Consider the following 22,062-nt stretch of genomic DNA (forward strand, 5'->3'; position numbering starts at 1 on the left):
TAAACAAAAACCCTTTAGGATACTCAATAATTTTTAAGAATGTAAAGGGATCTTAAGGCTGAAAAGTTTGGTGTGAAAGAAAATAAATCTTGGGACCCCAAAATCACTAAGCTGAAGGGAAAAGTGAAGCTGGGAACTGCTTAGGGCAAACCTGCCTCTGACCTAGAAGCCCCTTCCCCTCTTCAAGTTGTCCTGCCTTTCTGGATGGAACCAAGTACATCTTACATGATGTCTCATATGTCTCCCTAGATGTACAAAACCAAACTGTGCCCCGACCACCTTGGGCACATGTTGTCAGGACCTCCAGAGGCTGTGTCACAGGTGCATCCTTAACCTTGGCAAAATAAATTTTCTAAATTGACTGACACCTGTCTCAGATATTAATATTTTGAGTTGACAGCTGATCTAGGCAATTTACCAGTGATTGCTGACATAGAAAAAGAACTGACTAGACTTTTACTCCTTCGGATGGAAGTACAAAATACCACATATAATGTATCCTTGTCAAAATAATAATAATAATAATGAATGGATCTGATCAAACCTCTAGTTTAAATCTAAATTTACCAAATTATAGGAAATAGTTTACAAGATTACATTAAACAAGACCACGGGGGATGCATTCAGCAAAATCTAGACTGTGAGAAACAACAAGCTTTATTCAACAGATAAACTGTGAAAAAATAATACAGGAAGAATGTAAAGATTACAAGTTAAGAGACATTGCAAGCAACTATAATGTATAGATCTTATTTGGACAAAATATAAAAGACATATATGAGATACCCATGAAAATTTTTGGGCACTGATTGGACATTTGATATTAATGAATTATTATTTACATGTAATAGTGGAATGGAGTAATCTTTTAAAAATAAGAGTCCTTATCTTTAATAAATTCATACTATCTACAAATGAAATGATATCCAGTATTGCCTCAAAACAATAAAAATTGGAGGAAATCAATAAAGTAAGATGAGCCATAAATTAAAAATAACTGAAGCTAGTTAACATGTTCACACATAGGGTTGATAATACTATCTTATTTCCTTTTGTTCATTTGATTTTTCCTTGTTTTTTTTTTTTTTGAGACGGAGTTTTGCTCTTGTTGCCCAGGCTGGAGTGCAAAGGCACGATCTCGGCTCACCACAACCTCTGTCCCCCGGGTTCAAGTGATTCTCTTGCCTCAGCCTCTTGAGTACCTGGGATTACAGGCATGTGCCACCACGCCTGGCTAATTTTGTATTTTTAGTAGAGACAGGGTTTCTCCATGTTGGTCAGGCTGGTCTAGAACCCCCGACCTCAGGTGATCTGCCCACCTCAGCCTCCCAAAGTGCTGGCCACATTTGATCTTTCTATAGTAAAAGTTTGTAGATATTTTTTGTTTTTAATGTTTCAAGTTAGAAGAAAATGTATTTCCTTAAGTAAGTTGAATCATTTACCCTTACGCCTAAGGGCATTAACAGTGCTTCCTCCCGCAAAAGCCACCTGATGAAGTGCTGTTTCTGCTTCACGAAATAGCCCTGAAGTAGTTTGTCTTTGGTCTTCTTTTATCTTACTTCTGAACTCTTTACCTCTAAAATATTAGAAACAAAAACAACTGGTTAAGTAAGGAAAATTATAGACCAGTGGTTCCCAGCCTTTTTGGCACCAGGGACTGGTTTCATGGGACACAATTTTTCCATGGACCAGGGGGATAATGGGGAGGATGGTTTCTGGATGAAACTGTTCCACCTCAGATCATCAGACATTGGTTAGATTCTCATAAGGAGTGCACAACCTACATCCCTCACATGCGCAGTTCAAAAGAGGGTTCGTGTTCCTATGAGAATCTAAGGGTGCCGCTCATCTGTCAGGAGGCAGAGCCCAGGCAGTAATGCAAGCGATGGGGAATGGCTGTAAATACAGGTGAAGCTTTGCTCGCTTGCCCACTGCTCACCTCCTGCTGTGTGGCCTGGTTCCTAACAAGTCATGGACCAGTACGGGTCTACGGCCCAGGAGCTGGGGACCCCTGTATAGAGAATACAAATATAAGGAGAGGAATCCAGACAACAAGTTGGGGTATTCCTATTGGAAGGAAATACTCTCATCCCAATCAAATACAAACATATTTACACACATGCACTTCCAACTGTGTGCTGTTATGAAGAAAACAGTTCAAAACAAACAAAGCTAGGGAAAGGAAGAATGAAGTACATTTTTAAATAATTTCACTTATCTTTTTCTGTTCAGATACATCAAAGATTTTAGTCTTCACATTTTGGCTTGAATGACTTCAGTCTTGGTGATATTTAAAAAATAGCCCTAAAAGTTACTGGCATGAGCTATGCAGAAGATTCCCCACACAGTGCAGATTATGTAAAGATTAGGGATATAAGACCAACAATATTAAATTGAGGGTTTCTTGTACAATGATGTTAATAGAACTTAAAAAGTAATTTGCAAAATAGATTTAAGAATTAGAGAGGCCTCAGAACTTTCCCTGCATGGAGGGAATAAGCCATATTACAGAGTAGGGCCATGTCTATTCTCAGGACTATGCAAATTTCAAGATACACTGTTCTATCTTTTCAACTTGCCATATTATCTTATATCTTGATTATTGGTTTGGGACATATGATTTTCGTATCTGCAGACCTTAAATAACTAAGAAATATATTTAAAAAAACTCCTCTTCTAATAACCATCTTAAATTATACATACTTCATTTTCAAGTCCTCCAACGAAAGCAACTCTAACAAACATCTAGATAATCTAAACTTAGTTGAGTAATTCTCAAGTGTTCTTTAAAAAAAGAAAAAAATCAAATGATACATGGAAAAAGATTTCAAAATATACTGAAACTGTTAAATAAGTTATTTATATAATGAATAAACAGTTATTCATTCTTTTTTTTTGTTTGTTGGGTTTGTTTTTTTAAGACAGTCTCTTGTTCTGTCACCCAGGCTGGAGTACAGTGGCACAATCTTGGCTTACTGCAACCTCCACCTCCCGGTTCAAACATACTATAGGTGTGCACCACTATACTGGGCTAATTTTTGTATTTTCAGTAGAGATGGGGTTTTGCCATGTTGCCCAGGCTGGTCTCAAACTCCTGAGCTCAAGCAATCCACCCTCCTCCACCTCCCAAAGTACTGGAATTACAGATGTGAGCCACCACGCTTGGCCTTTTTTGTTCTTAAACAGGTTACTTTTCTAAGAAAAATGTAAATATTTTTAACCTATGGGTATACAAAATGCTAAAAATAGGTGGATGTTTGAAACAGGAAAAAAAATTAAGTTGTTAATCACACTGTATTCATTCGTTGCACCACAGCATGTTTCTATTGTTTTTCCCCCATTTTAAAAAGCCATGTAAACAGTTTTAACAATGACAAAAAGTTTTAAGCAACTAATTGGCAGTACATAAGCAAAGTCCAAGAGAAAAATGCAAGTAAAGTTACTAAATTATAGAAAAGGCTGGTTGGTTGGTTGAATTGTATCCTCAAAGATTACAGAATTAGGTAATGAAAGCTTAAAAAACCAAATTATCAAATCTGTTACTGAAATCAAAATAAAATCCAAAGAGCAATATACTTTACCAGGAGAATGTCTATCTTATGTGTCACTATTATACATCATTTTTTCTTGGGGAAAAAAAAAATGCAATGAATAAGAATAAAAATTCTTCATAGAAAAATCATTAGGTTTCAAAATGCCAAAAATATCTCATTCAATTCATTCTGAAAAGTCCATCTGACATTAGAAAAAATAATTCCTGAGACAGCAAATGTTACAAAGGGAGTAATTTACAAAATATCAAGGTAATAGCAATCACTGTAACTGAACCTTTCTTATAACTACACGAATTTATCAATAGATACTCTCTAGTATCAAATATTAAAACTTCAGTTCACAATAAAAAAAAGGCTATCATAAGCTGAACTTCAAATTTTAAGTGTACTTCAAGATTTTGTGATTTTAAAGCAAAACCTTAGAAGAAAACACAATTTATAAATGAAATAATTTCCATATCAGAATATGTTTGCCACTTTTTTTTTAGGGGTTTTTTTTTTTCATTATTTCCCTAGTTGACAGACCACCTTCTTAATCCTACATGTCAAGCACTGAGCTAAGTATTAAGGATACTAAAATAGACTGTCAAGGAAAACCTAGCTTAAAAAGGAAAAATATTAGCCAGGCACAGTAGCACGAACCTCTAGTCCCAGCTACGCTGGAGGCTGAGGCAGGAGAATTGCTTAAGCCTAGGAGTTTGAGTCTAGCCTGGGCAAAAAGCAAGACCTTAGCACTTAAAAAAAAAAAAAAAAAAAAAGGAAAGAAAACATTACATTCAAATACTAATTTTAAATTCCACTACAGCCTAAAGTTGTTTGGTGGTGTTTTAAACTTTAATTCAACAAAATGGAAAGTACTAGACAACATAATTGAAATCTCTTTTCTCTAATCAATTTACCATCTAAAATATTCCACCAATTTCAAGATTAAATCCCTTCACTAGGAGAATCATGTGGCTAGATTTAATCAAAACAGGAAAGGTTTTAATCAATATTCTGTACTAGAAACATAGCCCTTATGTGTAGTTAGCGTAGAAGTAGCTTCTCTAAATTCAAATATATGGCTATAGGTTTTTGTAGATATTCATCAAACTGAGGCCATTCCCATCTATTCCTAGTTTACCAAGAAGTTTTACTGTGAATGGGTATTGGATCTTGTCAAATACTTTTTCTCCATCTATTAATATGAGATTTTTCTTCTTTAGCTTGTTGATGTGTTTACCATGTTAATTGTTTAGTTTCCTCGATACGAGGGATATAAAGACAAATAGTTCATTTAACTTTTTATGATAATTAAATAAGCTTATACATGTAATGAACTTAGAACAATGCCTAGCATATACTCAAAATGTTAAGATTATTTATAAAGAGGCTCAATCATAATTTCTACAAAAAGGACACAGCCAGGCACAGTTGTGCACCTGTAGTCCTAGTTACTTGGGAGGCTGAGGCAAGAGGATCACTTGAGCCCAGGAGCTCAAAGCCAGCGTGGGCAACATAGCAAGACCCTATCTCTAAAAATAAAAATATTAAAAAGCTATACTTCTGCATGACATCATTTTACTGCACGAATAGCAGTGAAAAGTATTGTTAGTTAATGGCATCAGCATCCACCCAATTGCTCTAAAGGAAAACCTAATTATCATTTTGATTGCTCTGCTTCTCACAGAAAGTGCTGTCAGCTCTACCTCTAAAACATATTCCATACGCAATCCCGTCTCTCCATGGCCCCTACCTCCCACCTGGTCACTCTCTCCTGTATTGCTGTAGTGGTCTGCCCTCTCCTTCCCGTACACAGAGCCCATTCTTTACCTACAACCTAAACTGATCTTTCTGAAACAAAAATTAGATCAAGTACTTCCTCTGCTTCAACCAACAAGCAGCTCCCAACTGCACTTAAACTCCAAACTCTACCATGACCTGGTCTTTATCTCTTCTCACCTACCCAACTTTTGCTTTAAGTTGAATACTTGAAGTTTCCTGCCTCAAAACCTCTGTAATGTCTGTTCCCTCCACCTAGAACTTTTGTTTTGTTTTCTTTCTCCCCACAATCTCTTCCGATTCTCCTACCTAGAACATTTTTACCCCAGCTCCTTCCCCTGATTTTTACCTAACTGGCTCCTTCCAAAGTTTGGATCTCAACTAAATACCTTGCTCCATATAGAGGCTTTCCTTGCCAGCCCTAAAGTGCTACCACCACTTTGCAGCCTCTACTCTCTATAGCCTATCTCCCTGTTTTATCCTCTCCAAGGTACTTATCATCAAGTTTATTGTGTGTATTAGATCACATCCATACCCCTCAACGAGAATCAGTTTTATTAACTTGAATGTATCACCAAAAAAAAAAAAAAGATTCTAATTTTTTTCTGTATTTCAAACATGTACAGCAGTAGAGAAAATAAAATAATCCTAATTTGTTCATTACTGCAATTTCAACAAGTACAAATTTCATTTATATTTCTATTACTTTCCCACCACTATCTGTCCTATATTATTTGGAAGCAAATCCCAGGCATTTCTTCTCTAAATATACCAATATATATCTCTAAAACAATTCTTCTACAGCACACACTAAACCACTACCACAACGAAAATAATGAAAAATGATTACTTAATATTATCAAATATCAAGTTAGATGTCAAATTTCTCAATTACCACAACCATTATTAAGTGAGTCAAATTAATCATATTTCTTTTTTTGAGACGGAGTCTTGCTCTGTCTCCCAGGCTGGAGTGCAGTGGTGTGATCTTGGCTCACTGCAAGCTCCGCCTCCCAGGTTCACGCTATTCTCCTCCCTCAGCCTCCCGAGTAGCTGGGACTACAGGCACCTGCCACCACACCTGGCTAATTTTTTGTATTTTTAGTAGAGACGGGGTTTCACCGTGTTAGCCAGGATGGTCTTGATCTCCTGACCTCGTGATCTGCCCGCCTCAGCCTCCCAAAGTGCTGGGATTACAGGCATGAGCCACCGCGCCCGGCCCTAAATTAATCATATTTCTTTCTAGTGTCTACCAATACAAAGAGAGAAAAGGAAATTGCAAGTCTGGAGAAGGAAGAAGTGATTTGTTCTTCAAGTTTGCTTCCTGTTCTGTCAGTTTCACCTGAGCCTTGCTTAGTCACTAGAGCAGCACTCATTCAAGTAGCAACAGCTGAAACCAGCCTTATTGTGCCCCTCAGTGACTCCGTTACCAGCCAGTTGGAGGCCTCTCCTCAAAGAGCTGAGCCTGAGCTCCTCTTTCAAATTCAGTAACCCAATACTAGCCAAACAGCACTCCCTTGTCAGAGGTCTGAGATTTGTGAGAACTTAAAATAAGAGCTAAAAATAGGTAATATACTTTATGGTAGCATTTTTTATTCCTCATATAAGCACTTCACAAGGTTAAATTCTTCTACTTAGAATGTAATCCCATTCACAACAACCACAAAAAGAATAAAACACCTAGGAATAAGCTAACCAGGGAGGTGAAAGATTTCTACAATGAGAATTACAAAACACTGCTGAAAGAAATCAGAGATGACACAAAGTAATGGAAAAACATCCCATGCTCATGGATAGGAAGAATCAGTATTGTTAAGATGGCCACCCTACCCAAAGCAATTTACAGATTTAATGCTACTCCTAACAAGCTATCAATATCATTATTTGCAGAATTAGAAAAAAAAATTCTAAAATTCATCTGGAAACAAAAAAAGAGCCCAAATAGCCAATACAATCCTAAGCAAAAAGAACAAAGCTGGAGGCATCACAATACCCGACTTCACTATACGACAAGGCTACAGTAACTAAAAGAGCATGGTATTGGTATAAAAACAGACACATGGACCAATGGAGCAGGTCAGAGAACCCCAAAAATAAAGCTGCACACCTACAACCATCTGATCTTTGACAAAGCCAACAAACAAGCAAAGGAGAAAGGACTCCTTATTCAATAAACAGTGCTGAGATAACTGGCTAGCCATATGCAGAAGACTGAAATTGGACCCCTTCTTTTCACCAGATAAAAAAAAAAAAATCAACTCAAATGGACTAAAGGCTTAAATGTAAAACCTGCAACTATGAAAACCCTAGAAGAAAACCTAGGAAATATCATCTGAACATCAGCCTTGGCAAAGATTTCATGATGAAGACTCCAAAAGCAATTCAAACAAAAACAAAAATTGACAAGTGGGACCTAATCAAACTAAAGAGCTTCTGCACAGCAAAATAAACTATCAACAGAGTAAAAAGACAATCTACAGAATGGGAGAAAATATTTGCAAATTATGCATCTGACAAAAGTCTAATGTCCAGAATCTACAGGGACCTTAAGCAAATCAATAAGCCAAAAAAAAAATGACCGCATTAAAAAGCGGGCAAAGGACATGAACAGACACTTCTCAAAACATGACATACACGTAGCAACAAGCATATGAAAAAAATGCTCAATATGACTAATCATTTGAGAAATGTAAATTAAAACCACAATAAGATACCATCTCACACCAGTCAGAATGGCTACTATTAAAAAGCCAAAAATCCACAGATGTTGGTGAGGTTGCAGAGAAAAGGGAACACCCAAACACTGCTGGTGAGAATTTAAATTAGTTCAGCCACTGTGGAAAGCAGTTTGGAGATTTCTCAATGAACTTAAAACAGAACTACCATCCAGACCCAGCAATCCTTTTACTGGGTATATACCCAAAGGACTAGAAATCATTCTACCACAGGGCCAGGCACGGTGGCTCATGCCTGTAATCACAGCACTTTGGAGGCCAAGGCGGGTGGATCGCTTGGGCTCAGGAGTTCAAGACCAGCCTGGGCAACATGGCAAAACCCTGTCTCTACTAAAAATACAAAAAATTTTAGCTGGGCGTGGTGCCGCACTTGTGTTCGCAGCTACTCGGGAGGCTGAGGTGGGGAGGATCACTTGAGCCTGGAAGGTGGAGGTTGCAGTAAGCTAGGATCACGCCACTGCACCCCAACCTGGGTGACAAAGCAAGACTCTGTCTCTCAAATATAAAAATAAAAATAAAATAAATCATTCTACCATGAAGACACAAGCATGCATATATTCATCGCAGCACTATTCACAATAGCAAAGATAAGTAATCAACCCAGATCCCCATCAACAGTTGATTGGATAAAGAAAATGTGGTACATAAACACCATGGAATCCTACACAGCCATAAAAAAGAACAAGGTCATGTCCTTTGCAGCAATATAGATGGAGCTAGAGGCCATTATCCTAAGCACATTAATGCAGGAACAGAAAACCAAATACTGCATGTTTTCAGTTATAAGACGGAGCTAAATATTAAGTACACATGGACGCAAAGAAGGAAACAATAGTCACTGGGCCTACTTAACAGTGGAGGGTGGGAGAAGGGTAAGGATATTATGGGTACTATGCTGATTACCTGGGTAACAAAATTATCTGTACACCAAACCCCCACGACATGAAATTTACCCATGCAGCAAATCTGCAAATGTACCCCCTGAATCTAAAATAAAAGTTGGAAAGAAAAAAAATAATAACAGCAAGCTTAATATATTTGTTTTGCTCAGGCTAGTATTTAAAAGGTGACACTGACCCCATTGTGAAGCTGGAAGCACAGGAGAAAGAAGTGACCCTGATCGCATTATGAAGTTGGAAACAGAGGAAAAAAAAAAAATCAAGAATGGAGGCAAGTGCAAAGTTAGCAACTAATTTCTCAAATCAGAAATCTGAACTTCTCAATGCTTTGCTTTCCTCACCTGTAAAATAGAAATAATAATAATAATAGCAGTGACCCATCTAGAGCTGTTCTAAAAATTTAATGAGTTAATACATGTAAAGGACTTAGAATAGTACCAGGCTCAAAAAGCACTTAAGTGTAATCTCACATTAATATGGCCTGCTTATTCAGAAATACAAATACCTTTCTTCACCCATAATTAATAAAATATTCTAAGAGCCAGCTTGTAGTATAAGCAATTTCTGATTTAATCAATCTTTCAAATTATCATGTGACTCAAGATAATAATAAGCTCCCCTATGTACTCCAACTGAAGACACTAACAGTCAATTAAATAGTCATAAAACTGAAAACATTAATAAACTGTATTCTCTGCTATAGTGTTCTATAATTTCACACACAGTATCTTCCCAACTAGAGTATGGCAACAACTAATCTCCTTATCTCTATTCTCTCTTTCTTCTAGTCTGCTCTGTGTACTACAGCCTGATAGTTGATCTTATTAAAATTTTGCTCTCACAATATGAACATATCCTGCTCAAGTTCTCCTGTAGCCGGATACATCAAACCAAAAACCTTCGGGCTTGTTTTTAAGATCCTTCACTATTCTGCTCCCTCAGTTTCACTTACTATTTCCTAACATAAGCCCTCTACCCCAATCAGGTTACTAATTCTCATCTTTGTACTACTGCCCACTCTGCTTTCACAGCCTGAAATAGAACTCTCCTCTTCACCTGTGCATTTCTTATCAGTCCTTCAAGATTCAGTTCAAATCTCACATTCCCTTCACAAAATTACCTGGACCATTCAATCCTCCAGGAATCTCTCAAATATCTGTACTAAGAGTATGACCTAACATTTAACATTTTATTATACTCATTTTTTAATGTTCAAGAATTGTCCTATATAATCTTGTTTTTCTGAGTTAGATTATAAAGTACTCAAGGACAAAATCAGAGTTGTCCAAATCCTGGCAGTGCTGGTAACAGAACAGCTGTATTAACTTAAGCGTTCAAAAGGCCTAGTGCAGTGTCTAACATGTACTAACAAGGTAGTAAATGTATGCTAGCTATACCGGAACATCCAAATTAGAGAATATTCTGTAGACATTAAGAATAACACATCTGTGATGTTTGTAAAGATAGTGATAACAAAAATGTTGTAACAATATCTGTAGAATGATTAAATTTCTGGATAAATACATTTATTTTGTGGGTGGCTTCAAATAATTGTATTCCAAAAATATAAAGTACTAGTATCACTGGATAGTCAGAATCACTGTCCAATGAAAATGATTATGAAACAAAAGTGTTTATGAAACAACAAAAAAAAGTAATAACATTTCTCCTTTTAAAAAAAGCTTAAAATGAAATAATAAGACAATGTCAAGTTTAAAGGCAGGTTATAAGAATGTACATAGAATATAATCCCAATGTATAAAAATAAAAATGGAAGAAAATTTGTTAAATTTATAAGTAATATTCTATAGCTGATTTTTGCACAATCCTAGATTTGCTATTTTATTTCAAATTTTCTGAATACTATTCCTAAAACATGGTTTGGAGATGCCCTTGAGTTCCTCGAAGATACTACCAGGAAGGAGGGAAGTATGGAGGGAGAAAACACTTGTAGAAGTTAAACAAGTAATACATGGAGAAAAATTCAAAGGCAATTCCCATCCTTAAGCACCTGTATTCCTACCATCTGTATTACAGAATGAACTAGAGAATCAGAATGCAATAAACTGGTTTTATATTAAAGTGCAGGGCAAAGTACAAACTCAGGGATAACGTTAAGCTATAAACTTCTCCATGATTACACTAGAATCAAACTCTAGCAATTTAGTATCACTGGAGTTCCCCACCTCCACTCCATCTGCCCTCTACCCCCAAACACTCAAATTTATTCATTATATAATTATTTTTGTCATCAAAAGAAATCACTTGGTACAACTTTGTTTAGATCCTATCCTCTAGTTTCTTTTTAATGCATATGGAAATTTTGATTTATTCTACTATATGTTATTTTCACAGTATTTTGTGTTGTTTACTACTCTTGAATATCTGCCTCCGAACAAGACAATCCTTTTAATGATTTCAAATTAGGCAGACAAAACTGTTTTCTTTCCAAAACCTGTGAGAGTTGTTGCATAAACAGATATGGACAGAGGAAGGAAGTACCCAGTCAACAATACTGAACAGCAGAATAAAGTCTGAATTCTTTGGCATGGCATTAAAATCCAACACAATTGGTCCATATCAATCCTCTTTAACTGTTCTCCATTCACTCCCCATCATGAATTTTCTGAACATCACCATTTCCTCTGTTAGAACATATCCTGCTTATTTCCAACAATGATAACCAATGTGTGGGCACTGGCACCCAAACAGATCTGGAGTCAAAGCCAAGTTCTGCCAGGATGGCCTTTGGGCAAGTCATAACTTCTTTGAGGCTCAACTTCCTCATCTTGTAAAATGATAAAAATAAAAACCTACCTCATGAGTTAATGTGAAGATTAGATGTAACCCATGGAAAGCCTTCTGTGCAGTTCTGGACATACAGCAGGCATGCAATATAAAGTTATTATTTCTATTACTTCCCAGTTCTGTGCCTTTGCACGTGCTATTTGCTCTACCTGAAATGTTACCCTGTTCCCCTCTTCACTTGGAGAATCTTTCTTACCAACTGAGACCTAAAGCATAATACCACCTCATGTTATGTAAAGCCTTTATTGACTTCCTTAATTAATGGCTCCCTTTAGGGTATTTTTTTTTTTTTTTTGGCGGGGGTGGGAGGCACAGGATGGTGGTTAGAGACAAGGTCTCACTCTGTCACCCAGGCTGAAGTGCAGTGGCATTATCATAGCTAACGGCAGCCTAAAATTCCTGGGCTCAAGCAATCCTCCTGCCTAAGTCTCCCAATCTGCTGAGATAACAGGTGAAAGCCACTGTGCCCGGCCCATGGCCCCCTTTTCTGTGCTAGTTCAGTACTTTGCTCTTTTCTCCATCATAGTTGTTATTATACTAACCTCTAATTATTTATCTCTTTCCCTGAAAGATTAGAAGTTCCTTAAAGACTGGTGAATATTTTCTATCACACAGCACTGAGCCTGGGGCACACAACAGGCATTCATATGTTTCTGAAGAAACATTTACATATAGATTCTTATAAAAGAATCTATAAAAAATGCTGCAGCATATGAGAGGAGTGACAGGGCAAATGCTACAGAGAGGACAAATGGAATGAAAGAAGCTGTCACATTCGGCAATTAAGAGGTCACAAGTTTGGTGACACTGGTACAAAAAAAAGGTCACAGGCAACCTTAGAGAGATGAATTTCAGTACTGTAGTAAGAAATGAACAGTCAGCAGGTGAAAATGTTGCCTTTAAGAAACTGACCAATTATGGAGAAAAAACAGTAAGCTGAAGGTAAAGCAAAATTAAGGGAACATTTCTGCATGACAAGATGAACCAGGAGGTAGAGGCTGAGTATTTAAGTAAGAGGTAATAAAATAAAATCCCTGATACGGCAGTAGTATTAGCCTGGTGGGGCCAGGAGCAGTGGGGGATATGCTAGACTCAGCTAGAGGAAAAAGGTTGAGGTTGAAATGCAACTTAAGTTTTGAGGTAAAAGCTTTCTGGAAAGACTACATTAATGTTTTGTTTTTTGTAATGGGCTAGATGATCTCTAAACACTTTTCCAGCTCAAAACATCCAGTTATGTAATTTTTAATGCCAATGAAATATCTCTGAAATCTATTCTTTCTTTCCTTTTCTACCACTATTGCCCTAGCGATCATTATTAGTATACTCTTATATGAGTACTCCCATTTCTCTGCTTCCTATACCTTTCCTCTATGTCATTACTTGGATTGATCTTCCCAAGCCATTGTTTTCTATGTTTTTACAACGTTTTACATATTTTAGACAGATTGATGGGGATACAGATATCTATGCATGGGTAGACATATACGCACTATAACATTTGTTTAGAAAAACATGGATTTGTCCCAATGCCACTGATATGAACACATGTTAGGGAACAAGTTGAGAATAACACTAATTTTGTGTTTGCTTATGTTCAAATGCAAGAAATGCTCAGCAGGCACAGATAACTGCAACCCAGTCACGTAGAAATATATGCATACACACCTCAAACATCTGCCAGTTACGTCAGTTCACTGCATACGTTATGAGCTACACCCATCCACATCTGGTGTAACACTCTCACTCCAATTTCAGATAACCTTCCTCCTACCATTTTACAGTAATTCACAAGCTGGGATCCTTCTAACACTTTTCAAAAAGTTTAGGTATTTTTCAAAGTAAAGTGTCATATTTGTTGTAGTATTTATGTACTTATTAAGCATTTAACATGTGTGAAACTGCTAGTTTTTATTAGGTTTCTATCTTTTTAAATGCCATTGACAAAGTTTTTGAGTGTTATGCCCCAAACTCCATTTTCACATATGCCCTACAGTTTTTACTGCACAATTTTGCATACCATGATGAGTTTCAGGAACTTATTTCAGCTACAGCATACATACATTTATAATTACTCCAGCTCCAACCACCAACTTCCCAGTGAAATCAAAGGTTATAGAGGTTTAAAAAAAGAAAAAACCTCTGGTCATCCTTCACAATTATCTGAACCTATGAGACTCTTTCAATGGCACAAACACTTTTCCTGAGCAATGTTTCAGGAAACACAATATATGAAAAGAAAAAAATAGACCAGGTGGAGTGGCTCACACCTGTAATCCCAACAACACTTTGAGAGGCCAAGGTGAGAGAAGCATTTGCGTGTAGGAGTTCAAGACCAGCAACATACTGAGACCCCATCTCTACAAACAAATTAAAAAATTAGCCCAATGTGGTGGTGCAAGCCTGCAGTCCCAGCTACTCAGGAGGCTCACGTGGGAGGATCTCTTGAACTCAGGAGGTTGAGTCTGCAGTGAGCCATGATCGTGCCACTGCACTGAGCCTGGGTGACAGAGATCCTGTCTCAGAAAAAAGGAGAAGAAGGGAGGGGAGGGGAGGGGTGGGGAGGGGAGGGGAGGGGAGGAAAGGAAAGGAAAGGGCTATTTATCTAAGACTATTTATGGGCTAATCAAAAAGCCACATAATAAGGCAGATAAGCAGTAAGGTCCTTTCCCAATGAAGTAATGGTTAAGTATTTTAATATCAAACAGCACAAAACACATGCATCCAACTGGACATGGTGGCTCATGCCTGTACTCTCAGCTGCTTGGTAGGCTGAGGCAAGAGGATCACTTGAGCCCAGGAGTTTGAGGCTGAGTCATCACACCATAGTACTGCAGCCTGGGGAACAAGCAAGATCCCTGTCTCTAAAAAACATACAACAAAAGATACATACACATCCACCCCTATTTTTGAAGTTATAGAATAACATCATAAAAATACTCATGATGAGTGGTTAAGTATACACACAAATCAATAGTGTGGTTCCATTTCTCAAGTAGATTCAAAAAAATAAGAATAGAAACACAAATATTAATATGTATAAGATAACAGGTTTTTCTACCTTTCCTTGGATTTATTTCCATGAGAGAACTACAGTGAACACACTGCCTTTTTTTTAACACATTACTTCTACTAGCAGAAAAAAATTAGGATTACATAAATTTGATTTGCATCAACTTTTGCTTACATTATAGGATATGGAGAAGTCTTTCAAGAATTTGAAACCTAAAAGTAACTTCTTTGATTATTTCAGCTAATACAATCGTACTTTTTATTCCTATTCCTCAAGCACCATCTTCTGAATGTTAACTCTGTTCTGAGATTTACATTCTTTTTAAATACTACTAAAAATATTCTGGAAAAAACTCCAAAATAATAGAAAATCAATTGATACTTTATGTAACCTGCAAATTCTAAAATATTAAGTAGTTTGCTTACATGACCATAGATAAGCTTAGTCTGAAAGATGTCTTTTTAAGTTAATTTCATCTGTTTCAGTTCTGTATTTCAAACTGTATATTATTATGTTTATTTATCCTATTCTCTTAGTCCCCCTAGAGTTTTGTTTTGTTTGAGTTTTTCTGAGCCAGGGTCTCACTTTGTCACCCAGGCTGTAGTGCAGTTGAGCAGTCACGGCTCACTGCAGGCTCGACCTCCTGGGCTCAATTGATTCTCCCACCTTAGCTTCTCAAAGTGGTAGCATTAGAGGTGTGAGCTATGGCACCTGGCCCCACAGAATTTATTATGAAGAGCCTGAAAACAAAGTTTCAGCTGCCACAGAATTGTAATCCACAATATAAATTCTCTCCTATCTGTTCACTTCAGCAAAACCTAACAAAATATTAATTTTCAGAATACAACTGCCCTATTTCTTCAACTACTTAAAATAAATGAGACTATCATTGAAAAATACACTGTGACCCACAAAATTTTGCTGGACAAAATCTCCAAAAACTATCACAGAATAAACATTTTACTAGTCAACTGACATGCTAAGATTTGAACTTGCTGGAGCTCTTTTTACCTTTGAAGTGTGTGATTTTGCTGCTTTTAGAATTTAAATATTCCTACAATGTCGTTCAGCCATGGTGCCCTGTGTATTTTTACATAGCCTAAGGAGAATGTAACAGGTGGCTGAGGCTCAATTCTATACATGTAGGTATATGGCTATAACACATTTGCCTAAGATCTAAACAGAAAGTTGACTCAGCAGTTAACCAAATATGTTCAAAATCAATTGCCAGTCAAGGATGCCTATAGGTCTAACATGTAAGATTTGTAATCAATGGGAAAAATGTTTGCACTTGATAGTAGTTTGATAAGATGGCAAACACAATGCTTTAAAAGTTTGAGTTGCTAATTATCAAATACATTTATAAACACAAGTATATGCTTTCACTTAAAGATATGTAAAAATTAAAAATGAGTGAAAGTAAAGTTCTAATTACGCATTAACTATTTGAGGTGTTTCTGTAGTCTAGACTTGTCTAAATTCTGGAAAAGAGGCAAAGCAGACAGAGCATTTTGCACTAAGTATGTGACATTACATAAATGTTTAAAGTACTTTGAATTTCCAAGTAGCTCAACCTGTCTGTTAAAATATGCACAGTTTTAAATTGGAAGAAAAAAATGAAAATGTTTAACAACCTCATAGGAAATTAACCTATACAGTAACTACAATTTCTGATTTGGGCATTTTTATAACATTTTCACAAACATCATTTTATTTAATTCATGTAACAATCCTGTTAGATAACCAGCATTCATTTCATTTGACGGATCAGTAAACTAGTACAGGGTATTTAAGTTAGTTCTTCCCAAACTTTAGTGTGTACCAAAATCACTCAAGTTAAAATGCAGACTCTCAGATAACATCCCTAACCCAGACTGGGGTGGATTCCAGAAATCTGATTTTAAATAAATGGCAAAAGTGATACTGGTAGAGATGGTCCCCCCAGAAACATCTTTTAGGACACTGATTCTAGTACTGTAACTAAAGTGGTAAGCAGTGGAAACTCCTTTTTTTTTTTTTTTTAACTCTGAATCAATGTTCCCAAATGTTTAGATGACAGAGCTTTGCAGATCTCCATGAAAGATATGTAAAAGTTTTATTAAGGTGAAAGTATTACACTCAGTTAAATTGTTAGGTTTTTGCAAAAGTAATCCAACTATTAGGCTGGTGCCATTACTTTCAATGGCAAAAACTGTGATTACTTTTGCACAAACCTAATAAATACCTATTATACTAAACTCCACTGCAAACAAATGGTAGTAGGTGCCCAAGTTTTAAGAAACTTAAAATTGAGGAGATCCTACCATAATTTCATTTTCTCTGTAAAGTGGGAAAGGCTGATATTAAATTATTTTAAGTTAATGGCTTCTCATAATTTGAATACCATATCACTTTACTGAAAGGAAAGCTAAAATTTAGGGACCAGAGGTTCTAAGAACATAATGAAAAATAAAGATGAAAATATAAAAGCACTTAAGAGCACACCGTGTGAATACTAAAAAACCACTGAACTGTACACTTTAAAAGGGTAAATTTTATTGTATGTGAATTATATCTCAATTTTTAAAAAAGGAAAAAAAGCACAGAGAAAATGTCAAACCCTAATATTTGCCAATAATTTTATACTTATAAAACATTATATCAACCTTGCTATTAAATGGCATAATTATTTTCTGGCACACATCATAGGTGCTAAAAAAAAAATGCAGAAATAATAAATAGCATAGATAGGCTTGGTACGGTAGCTCCCACCTGTAATCCAAGCACTTTGGGAGGCTGAGGCGGGTAGATCACTTGAGGCTGGAAGTTTGAGAGCAGCCTGGCCAACATGGCGAAACACCATCTCTACTAAAAATACAAAAATTAGCCAGGCATGGTGGTGCACACCTGCAGTCCCAGCTACTTGGGAGACTGACGCAGGAGAATTGCTTGAACCCGGGAGGTGGAGGCTGCAGTGAGCTGAGATCACACCACATGCCACTGTACTCCAGCCTGGGCAACAGAGCAAGACTCCACCTCAAAAAAAAAAGAAAGAAAGAAAAAAACAAAGAAAATAGTATAAACAGGCCACTAGCTTGATAATGATTTTAAATAAGAATTTTAATGCCAGTGTTTATATATTCATTTGTTCTCAAAATTTTCCATTAAAGTCTCACTTCATCTATGTTCTATAAATAGGGCTATTTTTAAATTCCATAGTCATATACTAACAATTTAACACTAAAATATTCTTTGTATTTCTTAAACTAGGTATACAGTATGTAATACACTGAAGTGTAGTAAGATGGTTTATTACGCACAAGACTGTGAGTGCAAACTATCTCTAATCTACTTCTCACTACATGTATGACCTGAAGCAAGTAACATACCTTCTCTTCCCCATTTTCCCATAGGGCTGTGGTGAGAATTAAATGCACTAATGTATGTCAAGTGCTTAGAACAGTGCCTGGCACTTAATAAGCACACCATAAATGTCATCTACTTTAATTATGTAATTATTATTTTTATGAGAAATGACATCCCAGCTCAGACAACTCAGTACAAATCCTGATAATATTAAAATTTCAATTTACTTTACCAGTGAGCTCAAACATTTAGGAAAGCTGGGCTAATAGCCCAGGTTTTACACTAAACAGTCTCAGTGTTTACACTATATCTACCCCATTCACGAATCAAATTTTCTCCAACTCTGAGTCATTATTAGTTTCTCTCCTGACTCATCACACAGAAAGGTAGACAGTCTGGAGCATAATGGGAATAACAAAAGGCATTTCTTAATCCACCTGGATTTATAAAGTTTACTAAGTGGAACTTGTCCTATATATAATGTTCAATAAACATACTAAATAATTATGACCTAACCTGTGTTCACTTAAAAGTGCTTTCTATATGTTAAATGCTCCTTTATCTTCCCTTTCACCAACACGAGTTCAAACTATGGAGTAGGTGTCATGACCCCATCTTGATAGAAAAACAATATATCACTTAGGTAAAATCAAAGATTCACATTTTCTGACCACTAGCCAAAAATAAATTTACGTTTTGCCGAGAGCCTGGTGTTCAAAATTTTGCCACTCTATAGGTTAGAGGGTCAGAGGCAATCTCTGAGTCCACAAATTTGACCTGAAATTCTATTCAATTCCATACCTTTACTGTTTTCCTCATTCAGATGTTTAAATTACTTAAGATAATCTTTAATAAAAAGTTATGTAAAAATCTAGGGAAATATGCTGAATAATGAAAAGTAGGTTAATTTTTAAAAACTCCCCTTTCCCTAGATATATACATACACACAAAATACACAAAAATGTTTAAAATATTGCTCTATCAGTTACTTTCTATGTGATCTTGAATCATTTAAGCTCTAAGTCTTCATTTTCTCCTCTGGAAATAGTGATAAACAGTGTAACTACCACATGAGATTGCTGTGAACTTCAGTACATAAAGCACTTTAGCCAACCACTAAAGCTAAACCACTTTAGCCAACCACTATTTTAAAACAGAAGTTTTAAATACTGTATATGTTAACTTTTATACTTAAACCAAAACTTCAGTGCCACCTCTACCTATTCAAAGATTACATTTTCTATGGCACCCATCTCCATTAACCCATTCACACAACCCTACTCAATGGCAGTAACTTCACAAACCCCCTGGAAACAAGTATGTAACTGTCTAGGAAGCTTTCTTCAACTATCACTCCTCCTCCCTGGGTTAGGTACCCTGCTCAGGCACTAAGCTATACTTACTACTCTACTTTTCACATTTCCTTATATTACCTGAGAGCACCTCGTGGGCAAGGCTTATGTCCTATTCATTTCTATACCCAGACTGCAGTCCAACAGTTGTTATCACTGACTCACATTTGAATCAAATGGGGAACTTATAAAAATATTAATGCCTGGGATCCATCCCAGACCCATTCAATATTACAGGGTGGGGTGAAGGGACAAAGAGGGCACGGAATTGAATTAGCATGAGCAAACATTTTTTTAAAGATCCTAACATGCTATCAATGTGCTGCTCAAGTTAAGAACCACTGCATGTCGGTACTTAATATACTATACAAACAATTATGTATACATGTACATATGTGAGAACATATGTAAAAATATACAAGTACTGAAAAGTTTAAGACTCAGGTCAAGATTCTCATCCTCAATAGCTTCTCCCAGCCCAATCATCTCCCCCTTTTAAACACACACTATTTCCAATAAATAGTTACATGCTTCATTAAGATGGCTTTTAAACTGTTAACTCAGTACTTAAATTTTTTCATGTAATTATGCCTTATCCTTCTTCCTAGATTATAGCCTTGCTCCTTGAGAATATACACTGCCGTGTTCTTATTTTCTCCACTGCTTAAGGATAGTGTCTTTAACAGGTATGTAATACACATTTGACTGATCTGATAAACACACACAAAAATTACTGGCAAGAAGTATGCCACGTCCAAATTACCCAGTTCAGGTGAATTACTACCAAAAAATAGAAAATGTAAAAATTTAGAAAAAAGGATATTTTTCTTAAAACTCTTAGTAAATTTTATCTCATTAAAGAAGCTCTGGATAGATCGACTTCAGCCATCACATGCAGTAACCACCCAGTTTCCTACCTCCCAAATAGCTAGTTTCGGTTTTTGACCTGGTTCCTTGCCTATAACTATCTTCTAGTCAATTCTGGTATCTTTAGCTGCTGTCAGATACCTTTATAACAGTATTATATATACACTCTATAACTAGTAAAGTGAGGTAATGAAAGTCACAATAAATGTATCACACAGATGTTTCATAAGTACTTCCTTGAAGGAACTTAATGTTTATCCACCATTAAAACCAGATCTCTACATATGAACTACATGTTAATCTACTAATACAGACTTGGTTGGGAATCATGTCTGAAAATAAGAGTCTTACTCGACATTAGATAAAATAAAGTCTACTTTTGAATATAAAGAGATTGGTCATTTTCATCTTTTTACTTATTTTCATACCCGAAAAATTTGCAAAATATGTATGACTTTTTAAAACAGGGGTGCTAAATTAAATATTACACAAGAAACTCCACAGCAACTGGTATTCTCAATGTTGAAACTACCAGGAGAAATGGCACAATTCTAAAAAAGCAACAATATAAACACATGAAAATGGCTCAGCTTTAAAGTTTTGCATCATATATTTTACCACTATTAAAATAATCTGAAATACATAAGTTGTTTTGAAAAATAAGAAAATATGAGGAGGAGGCGCTCAAGAAGTATGTCTGTTAATTAGATACTGTAGTGAAGCATTACTGTTTTGTTGGGTCCTGCAGCTTGAAACGGACAGAGACATAGTTACCACTAAAAGAAAGCAGTCCTCAATTCCCTATTCAATAAAAAGGTTCAAACTCTACAGACAAAAAAAAAGGTACCCTTGGTTTGTTTGTTTTCAGGGAAGATTAAATTTAGGAGTTGCCAACACCCAAACGAAAAACATTCCAGAGTATTAGACTCCATTGTAGTGGGAAGTCATCTACATTCTCAGCACTATGTTCTCTTACTCAAAGCAGGGGTATTAACAAAAGATGTTTCTTAGGATCTCACAAGATACACTCTACTTACTTCCCCCAGTAAACATTACCCTTGTTTAAAAAAAAAAAAAGTACTTGAAAAATAATTTTAGCACATGCAGCCAGAAAAAAAGTGAAGTTTAACATCTGCCAAGATATTTCCCAAAATAAGACCGCTGTCAGATGAACAATGAGGAAAAGATTGAAAATGACAAATTCTTTTATTTGGATCATCAGCTACTTTTAAAAATCAAGTTGAGGAATGTAGCTTTTCCAAAGCCTTGTCTTCAATTTCCCCTTAATCTTCATATTTTTAACTAAAAAAAAAAAAAAAAAAAACACCTAGAAATTTGATTACCACTCTTACGAATTCCTTCTAAAGCAATTTAATGAATAACAGATCTTTTGTGCAAGTAGCAAACCGCAGAGGACAGTTTTGCTGGCTGATAAAAATCTCTGAAACGCTCATATAAATACGTCCTACAAAGACACACTATGATTTAACAGGTATGGAAATCATAATACTAAAAATTTAGGTATATTTAATATACACCCTAACTTATTGCAAATGCTTCTACTTAAACCACAATTAAAGTTGAGTAAAATTAGAAAGCCAGGAGAAGAAAAAGTGAAAGCTAAACAGTCAATGAGAAAAAGATGCAACTATTTTAGGTGAAACAAGGTAGTTGAACCACTTCCTCAAATCCATGAGCTACTATCAAAGTAATCAAAACTTGTTTGAGATT

At 36.0% G+C, this 22,062-nt stretch overlaps 1 protein-coding gene across 11 annotated transcripts in view; it reads right to left on the reverse strand.

Annotated features, from left to right (window-relative positions):
• PAWR (pro-apoptotic WT1 regulator) overlaps nucleotides 1–22,062 on the reverse strand; it is a 106,086-nt gene that overhangs the window by 81,954 nt on the left and 2,070 nt on the right. Inside the window, exon 3 of one of the 11 annotated variants that reach the window (XR_944561.3) lies at nucleotides 1,489–1,576. The exons of 8 other annotated variants lie outside the window; for them this stretch is intronic. Coding sequence is in view for 1 of the 3 variants with exons in the window: in XM_017019379.2 (XP_016874868.1) it covers nucleotides 1,571–1,576 (6 nt within the window). In the remaining 2 variants the exon portion in view is untranslated. Of the gene's footprint in view, nucleotides 1–634; nucleotides 1,577–22,062 lie in introns of those variants that run through there. 2 more of the 11 variants (XR_944560.3, XM_017019379.2) reach the window with 2 other exon arrangements.

This window comes from Homo sapiens, chromosome 12 (genome assembly GCF_000001405.40).
Source record: "Homo sapiens chromosome 12, GRCh38.p14 Primary Assembly".
In the NCBI taxonomy this organism is placed as follows: domain Eukaryota; kingdom Metazoa; phylum Chordata; class Mammalia; order Primates; family Hominidae; genus Homo; species Homo sapiens.